Source organism: Homo sapiens, chromosome 4 (assembly GCF_000001405.40).
Source record: "Homo sapiens chromosome 4, GRCh38.p14 Primary Assembly".
NCBI classification, from domain to species: Eukaryota; Metazoa; Chordata; class Mammalia; order Primates; family Hominidae; genus Homo; species Homo sapiens.
The window spans coordinates 41788604-41797208 of NC_000004.12; the positions used below are offsets into that span (position 1 = coordinate 41788604).

General features: G+C 41.0%; 1 long non-coding RNA gene across 1 annotated transcript in view, besides 1 other annotated feature; it reads left to right on the top strand.

Moving 5' to 3' along the window:
* PHOX2B-AS1 (PHOX2B antisense RNA 1) overlaps positions 1-7834 on the top strand; it is a 48089-nt gene extending 40255 nt beyond the window's left edge. The window contains exons 2-4 of the long non-coding RNA NR_187403.1: positions 5602-5736; positions 6453-6611; positions 7127-7834. This is a non-coding gene — a long non-coding RNA (PHOX2B antisense RNA 1). The remainder of the gene's footprint in view (positions 1-5601; positions 5737-6452; positions 6612-7126) is intronic.
* Positions 7929-8223: a silencer, noted in NCBI's record as "tiled region #462; K562 Repressive non-DNase unmatched - State 24:Quies". NCBI's record gives its function as "represses a minimal TATA promoter and a strong SV40 promoter by Sharpr-MPRA in K562 cells {active_cell/tissue: K562}" and the evidence as "EXISTENCE:reporter gene assay evidence [ECO:0000049][PMID:27701403]".

Sequence of the window (8605 nt, forward strand, 5' to 3'; positions counted from 1 at the left end):
AGTTTCCACGTGATCCCTTTATGTTAACTGGCTTTTACTTTGTCCACCACCTCACTCCTGGGGTTCCACAATAGGATGCTCTTCCTTACGCTCTCTGAGCTTTAAATATTGGGCATCTCTGCTCTGACATTCTCTACAACCTACATGTTTAACAAGGAGGGGCAAGAGATTGAGTATTTAAATTATGGTACATCCACTCCAGATATTATTTTGACATTTCAGATGCCGCTGGAGGTAATATAATAGCTTCATGCTTATAAAGCTAAGTATAGAGAACAATATTCAAGATTAAACATAAACTCTCATGATGGCATATCCAGGTGGTTGAAGCATGGACTTTGGAGTCAGACTGACCTGAACTAGACTCTGCCCTTTGCCCGCCATGTGACTCTGGGCAAGTTTTTGCACCTTCCATAGCCTCTGCTTTTTCTTCTGTAAGAATGGTGATAGCCAACACAGAGTTGTTATGAGGATTAAATGAGATGATATCAGTTTGAAGTTTCGCAAAGTATCAGGCTTGTTGCAAGCATAAAATAAATGGTACCCCATTATCTTAGAAAGAAAATTGAATGTAGGGGAGGGAAGTGGAAATTCTCCTAAATCCAAAATGTTTGTGAAATTCTCCAAATGAGTGAAAGTGGGGTTAAAAAAAACTCAGGAGAAGGGATTTCTGGGTGGGAGCCACTTACTTGAGATCAGCCTGGTCAGTTTTCGGGATCCATTGAGAGAAGCCCATTGGACACTTCTTGGATTATGGACCTCCACATGGGCAAAACACAAGACTGTGTTCTTGGCACATTTAGGATCTACTTATATTCACCACTGGCTTTATATTCAATATTTAAAAGGATCCAATTAAGTGAAACAACAACGGAAAGAAATCTACCTGGCAATTTTTATCCCCAGTGGGGGTAAAAATATATTTATAGACATGATTATCGTCATTCATCCAGCCACTCTTTACTAATCACTCTTCTGTACCATGATGCTGCATTCCTTTCTAAGGTCTTGGGATTAGGCCAGAAAGACACAGCCCTGCTTTATGTTGCTTACCCACCTAAGGTGCTGTGCAAAAACCTTGCAAGGGCAACTTCTGGGCAGTGGAAATAAACCCGGTTTGCCTCTTTGGGTTATTCTATGCTTTCTTGCATTTCTATAATAGACACGTATTTTGTTGTATTCAAGAAAAAAATTTATTTAAAAAAATTTATCTGCTACGAAATAACGAGTTCAAGCACATTTTAAATTTTCAGTTGATGGGTGGGTGTCAGGGTAAGCCAACTTCAGAGTCTCCTACATTTCTTGTGAATGTGAGAGCAGCTCCACCTGGCTCTAGCAGTAAGCCTCTTTGAGCACTGGGAACCTTCACTTGCCAGGAAGGTAGGTCTTAATATTCCTTCCTTCTTCTCCTCCTTAAGATGCACTATGAAGCCCAGAGAATGTGGCTTGGATTACTTTTGAACATGGTCATTTCTAAGAATTGACTTTATGTATTAGTCTGTTCTCATATTCCTATAAAGAAATATTTGAGACTGGGTAATTTATAAAGAAAAGAGATTTAATTAGCTCATAGTTCTGCAGGCTGTACAGGATGCAAGATGCTGGCATCTGCCTGGATTCTGGTAAGGCCTCAGGAAACTTACAATCATGGCAGAAGGCAAATTTCATCTCACATGGTGGGAGCAGGAGCAAGAGAGAAGAGAGTGAAGGGGGAGGTGCTACACATTTTTAAACAAACAGATCTTGCAAGAATTAACTCACTGTCATGAGAACAGCACCAAGCAGATGGTGCTAAATCATTCATGAAAAATCTATCCCCATGATCCAAACACCTTCCACTAGGCCTCACCTCCAACACTGGGGACTACAATTCAACATGCGATTTGGTGGGGACTCAGATCCAAACCCTATTACTTTGTTTTAGAAATTCATTTCTATAACTTAAAATTATTACTAGAATTTCTTGACCTCCTACATCGTACAAAGCACTGTGAATATATTCTCATTTGATCTTGACAATAAACTGAAGGAATATATTATTATGATTAAATAAGTTGCCCATAGTTATAGAATAAGTGTCAAAACTGGAGTCAAATGAGAAAAATCAGACTCCAAAACCTAGATTTTCAACCACACTACTCCACTGCATCCTGAACTACTGCTTACCAAATGATATGGGCCTTATGGATCTATATTTAAGATGGGGTCAACCTTAAATGCTGGAGAACCAACAACTTGGGTTCAGGTTAATGCCTGAACCCCAAAACCAGTTATCAGTAATTCCTCTTTTCTTGCTGCCCCAGGGCAAACACCAAACCCTTTGCTTTTGTTAATTTCATCGATAATTGCTACCAGGAATCATGTGAGGACTACAAAATTTAATAGGAATAAGCAAATTACAGGAAAAGCAGAGCCTCATGAGAGTGGTGCTCAAATATGGGTCAGATTCTCATATTCATAACAACATGAAAGAATAATTAATCATATGGCCATTATTTTTTGAACACCATCTCTGTACCATGTCTTTTTCTAAGTGCTTTATAGGTACTACCTTGCTTTTGAGGAAACTGAGGCACAAATTAAGGAAACTGAGGTTTATCAACTTGCTCAAGTTCACAAAGAACCTGGATCCTGACCTAGACCATCTGGATCCAGAACCATACTCTTAACCAATATTCTTCCACTGCCTTTACTGGCTAGCCTAGCTGCAGAGGACAGAATGGGTAGAAGAGAGAGATTTCAGCTCTGTACAAAAACAAAACAAAAACAAACAAACAAACAAAAATATTCCAGATGCTTGGAGCTGTCCAACATCATGGTGAATTACCTTAAAATGACAAGCACTCTTCCATTGGAAACGTAGTCAAGGCTAGGTTTATGCAACCTGGGATGCTGAGCAGGTAATCTCTGCGTTGTGTGACAGGTTGAAATAGCCTCAAAAGAGAACTGAGTTAGATCGGAGCTTTCAGATTTTGTGCTCTCTCACACTAGGATGCAGTCTCCACCTTTAGATTCCCTAGCCTGGGACCACTGTGAATTCCAGATAAACTAACATTTATTGAGGCATCAGTTTCCTCCTTTCCCCCCTATCAAAATGTAAGAGCTACACAAGCTTGAAGATCGGACCAAGTATCTCTGTTTTCACTCTTCCTCCACTAGATGTCCTGCTTCTAAGACCCTTCCAACTCTGAGGTTCCACCATTCTTTCTGTGGGACACTAATTGTTGAAATACACCTGATATGCAAGAGAAGGATTTTCACCACATTGCACAAGAAGTTAATGGATCTCAGGATTCATATAAAAGGCTTCTCCTAAAGCAGAATTAATATTTCTCACCACTTCCACTATTACCCCAAAGGGTCAACCCACCATATTCTTTCCCCTGGGCAATTGCAATAGCCTCATCGTTGTCTGCTTGCACTCATATCTGCCCTATATCAGTTCTTCACATTGCAGCCAGAATGATCCTTAATATATATTAATCAGGCCATATCAATTCTCAGTTCAAAGCCTTTCACTGACTTTCTGTTTCTATTAAAATGAAAGACAAAGTCCTTGCAATGATCTCCAAGACCCTCTGTGGTGGGTCCTCCTCCACCCCTGGCCTCACCTCCCATGCCTGCCCCCTCATTCATTCTGCTCCAGCCACTGGCCCCATCCTCTAACACACCATGAATTGCTCCTGCTTCAGGACGTCACATTTGCTGTTCCACCTGCCTGAAATACACTTCCCCCATATAGCTGTATGACTCACTGCCTCACTTCCTCCACGGAGCTGCTAAAATCTCAGCATTATCAAGGCCTACAACTAGTCCCAAAGGACAATTTCAAAAAAGGGCACCCTCTTAATCAAGTACTTTGATCCTATCTGCCAGAAAGTTTTCACAGCAACACAACCTATAATAACCATGAGGAGAAAAGCAACCTATGGACTTGTACAAAGTACAATCCCAAGTCGTAGCTCCAGATGGGAAGTTCTCTGACTACTCCATGTAAAAGAGCAATACCTGCACCCCCCTGCAGCACCCCCATCTTCCTAACCTTGTACATTCTTCTCTCTAGGACTTATTACCATCTAATACAGTTCATATCTATTGGTTTATTTGTTTGCTGACTGTCTCTCCACTCTGCCACTAGAATGAAAGAAGCCAAGGGCTTTGTGTTATTCAATGTTGTACCCCAGCACCTACTACCATGCCTGCCACATAGAAAGCACTCAAATATTTGTTCAATGAATGAATGACAGAATGTTCTCAGCAACGTAGACTGCAGAGTTGAACATGATCAGGAAAATGTGGGGGAAGTTATGACTTTAAATAGAAATAGGTAGCTGCAAGGTTAAGTGCCCAAAGTATATACAAATGGACAGATCATGTAAATCTATGCATATGTCTGAGCAAATTCAAGAAAAAGAAACAAGGCAGGACACTTAAAACCATTCCAGTTGCCTGTGAGCTGGCTTCTCCACTGGTGCAAGCACCCAATTTGTAGATCTGATGAGAGGTGACAACGTTCTAGAGGTGTGTGCATTGTTCCAAGCCAGAGGCTGTGAACACGAAGGTGGCAGAGGCAGAAAAATAAAACTGATCCTCCTTCACGGTCCTTCTTATCATCAGCCCCCACACAGCCATACCAAGAAAAAACAGAGCAAGTGAAGCCTAAGATGTAACAGAGTGGTTTTCACCCATCTGGAGTCAAAGCTGCAGCCCAGAGACTGCTCTCTAAAGAAGTGTCTGCTGGCCTGAGAGACCACCTGTCTTGATGATGAGCAAATAAACAGCTCCACTCACTAGGATTTCACAATCTAAGAGGGTCTCTGAGGATATCATATCAAAACACATAGAGGACCATTTATGAGCAGCCAGCTGTTCAAAACAAAAATATGGGAGAAATTAAACAGAAGCAAGCTTCTAGGTAAAGGAAAAATATTGAACTCAATTTATTCCATTATATGCTCCTCCTTTGTAGAAATGCAAAGAAACATGGAGCATAATTTGGCCCACCTCTGCTTTGATGACCTGTATGAAAAAAGGGTTTCTTCTTTCAGCCTGAAACTCCTGTAAGAGCAGTAGATATAAGTCATATTGGTCAGAGCCTTGGCTACACATTTTCCATGGAATGTAAACATACATTGAAAGATTTGTTTTGTGGGGGTGCTTAGTGACCATGTAATCAGCTACATTTGATGCTCCTCTTCAGGGAAAAGGATGTAAACTCTCCCAAGGTCATGACTGATATAATTTGGGTGAAACATCTCATCCATTTCTGAGGCACATCCACTTTGTTCTTAAATAATTAAAATACTTAATCCCAAAATTTCTTTTCTGCCCCTATATGTGTCAACCAGGGCTGTGTGAGCAACAGAAATCCTTGAGTCACATAAACAATTTTTATTGTAAAATGCTATCAGAACTGTGTGTGTTTTAGTATAATCCATTTTCTGTCAGGCATTTGACTTAATGATATTTCCTCTTCTACTTATGTATTTCATTATCTGTTTTTGTGTCTTCAGAAACACAATAAACTATAATGAACATGAAAAGATTGGTATGCTTTTCAGAGCATGCTTCATTTTTCATCTCTAATGGATCTTTTTGTAGGGTTCTCACAACCAATTGAAAGAGAATAAAACATTCTCTTGCTTCATAACCAAAGTGCTGCTCACACTTACAGCAACCTTTGGAAGGGGAATCCTGGCTATTGATGTCCCTGGAAAGAGAGTGGTAGAAGAAAAGGTAAGTACCTTTGCTTGAGAAAAGAGTGGCCTCCCTCCAGCCACAGACATTCAATGGCCACACCCTCTAACTTCCTCTACTTCGTTCCTTCCGCCTTCCTTTCCTAGATAGGCTGATGTTTTGGGTCAGTTCTAATTGCATTTGTGTTTTGCATTAAAACACACAGTATTCACTGTTCCGCAGACATTATTTTTGAGAATATAAAACACAATTTCTTCTCTCCATTCCTTTAAAAATATTTTTTCTTCCCTCTTTTGAGAAATTTCCTGAGAGTAAAGAAAATGTAGTTACAGTCACCTGGAATCTTGCTACTCAAGTTGTGGCCCTCAGACCAGCCACATCAGCATCACCTGGGAGCTAGTTGGAAGTGCAGAATCCCAGGCTCCACCCCAGACATACTGAATCAGAATTTGTATTTTAACAAGATCCCCAGGTGATTCACTGGCACATTTGAGTTTAAAAAGCACTGAGTTAGGTCAAATTGAGTGGAATAAATGAAGCCAAATATAAAGTTTAGATATGGAAAAACATTAATGCACAAAATGACTTTGATCTTCTAAGAATGTAGTAAGAGAGGCTTACATAGTTTAAATATTTCTTTCATCTGACCTCCTTTTCACATGTTTCCCAAGTGCATAAAAGTATATGAGTGGAAATGTACAATGTCCCAAGAGAACATTTATAAAAATCTGTCTGGCATTTTTTTTCTGTATCAGAAATTGAAGACATGGAAGAAAGATGAAAACGCTGGCTACTAAATACCTATGTGTGGTTACTGAGTGTGGTATACTTGGACACCGAGCTCCCCCACCCATCAGATGTCACAAAGAGTCCTCTTACTCTTGGATAATTTCAAATCAAACTGACCTCCCCAGGTAAGCCCCTTGTCACTTTCAGAAGAATCCCTTTTAATGTGTGCTCCACTAAGATTTTAAACTCAGAAACTCAAGACTTTATTAAGTTGCTACACTTTCAAGCTCAGTAGGACATTTTGACTTGGAAGGGAAATTACTTGGTAAAATGACGAGCTATTCATTTGCCTCGGAATAGGAGGTTTCAGAGAATGTAGAATTTTCAGTTTTAAAACTGAGACAGTCTCAGCATAACTGGGTTGGTTGATCACCCTATTCTAACATCATTTATGACACCCAATTGGCCTAATGAAATTGGCACACAAAAACTAACTTGTGAAGGCAAACAACTTTCATAGAAATAATTTACTGAAACTGCAAGGGAATTCTCTGAGCCCTCACATTCGAGAGGCACAGAATCGAACAGATCATCCAAGCAGATTTCTTTAAATTGGTTGGAAGTGCACAGCTCTTGTTTCGGCATCAATAGATGTGTTCAGTTTCAACTAAGCAATTCACTAACTGCATTGATTTTTAAGGCCAAGCTGAAGGTATTGAGAAAATATCCAGATGACACAGAAACTGGAATGCTCAGAGACTGATGAACAAAGGGAGAATTTTGCTCCTGTTGCTTATTCCTGGGACACCTCTAGCTGGGAATACATATCCCAGGGCTGTTAGTAGTTTTAACCTTTCTTTGGCCACTTGATGGTCGAACCATTCTAGTACATCCCTGTGCCTAAGGGCTCTCAGAATACTCTGGGAATACAAGTTCGTGCTCAAGGTCCAACAGCTGTCAGAGCAGATGGCTGGGGATTTGTTTACTGTGGTCCTAAGTATTACCCTTTAGCTCTAAGGCACTGGGAACAATTTGACAAATTTGATTAACTGAGAACAATATGATGCTTGCCTGGAAAGCTCACTCCACACTTTCACAGAGTTCCTTATGTTCTTTTCATGGTCTGAGGATACAGGATGATATTAGCTACCACCTCAGTCCAATGAAACTATCAGAGAAAACAAAAAAGTCACCCTTGGCTACCCCTTTTGTTTTACAACTGAATGTTTGTGGTTCACATGTACAGCCAGCTGTTCTATCAGAGATGCTCAGAGCATACCTAGTCCTGCCTTTAAGAAAAAGAAATGTGACTTCATGTTCCATGGCACTCTATAGCTTATTTGTCAATTACAATCTGTGTCTGCTTTGTGAAACTAAAAATAAATAGTTAATCTGCTGGAAAATCTTATTCTACCTTCCCAACTTGCCTCTGTTTTTCGTCCTCTCAACTTCCAGTAGTTTCTTTGGTGAACATCTCACGGACGGCTTGCAAAGCATTTTGTGCTTTGAGATGGCGTGTATATCCCTGGGTCTGTGAAAGGCCACTGCTGCAGGGTGGGGAGACAATAGTCAGCTCTGGGAAGTCTGTGGGAATTCCTGAGGGAGCTGCAAGTTACTATGAATAGCCCGGCATTCGAAGAAGATTTGCAGAGGAGTCTCCTGCTGTGCCCTCTAGCTCTCTACTTGATGGAGACAAACCCAGGGCCTGAGAGGTTGGGAAGGGCTCAGGGAGGACGCCCATTAGGGGACAGGCTTTCTTGTGTCCAGATTCCACTTGGGTGACCCTGGGAAGAGAGACTGCTGGCTCTTTTCCGGAGCCACAATGCTCCATTTACAAGCTGCAATTAGTCGCAAGCAAAATTTGTGCATCCACTACTAACTGTCAGCTCAAGAGGTTGAAAGTTCAGTCCTGGGGAGGTCAGGACGTCTTCCAAGGGACGGATGACTTTGCTTACAACCTCCCCTCCCCCAGTACAGTGGGGACCCTTCTGTAGGGGAGAGAACCACATTCCATAGAGGGATGCCTGCAAAACTGAATGATCTATGCCAGACAGGCTCATGGTTCTGGGACTAGGCATAGTAGGCAGATGTACCCGTTATACAGTGACTTTTCTACAGCAGAATATTGACTTAATTTATAATAAATATAGCCATTTGAGAAGAGCAAGGCAAGTAATGC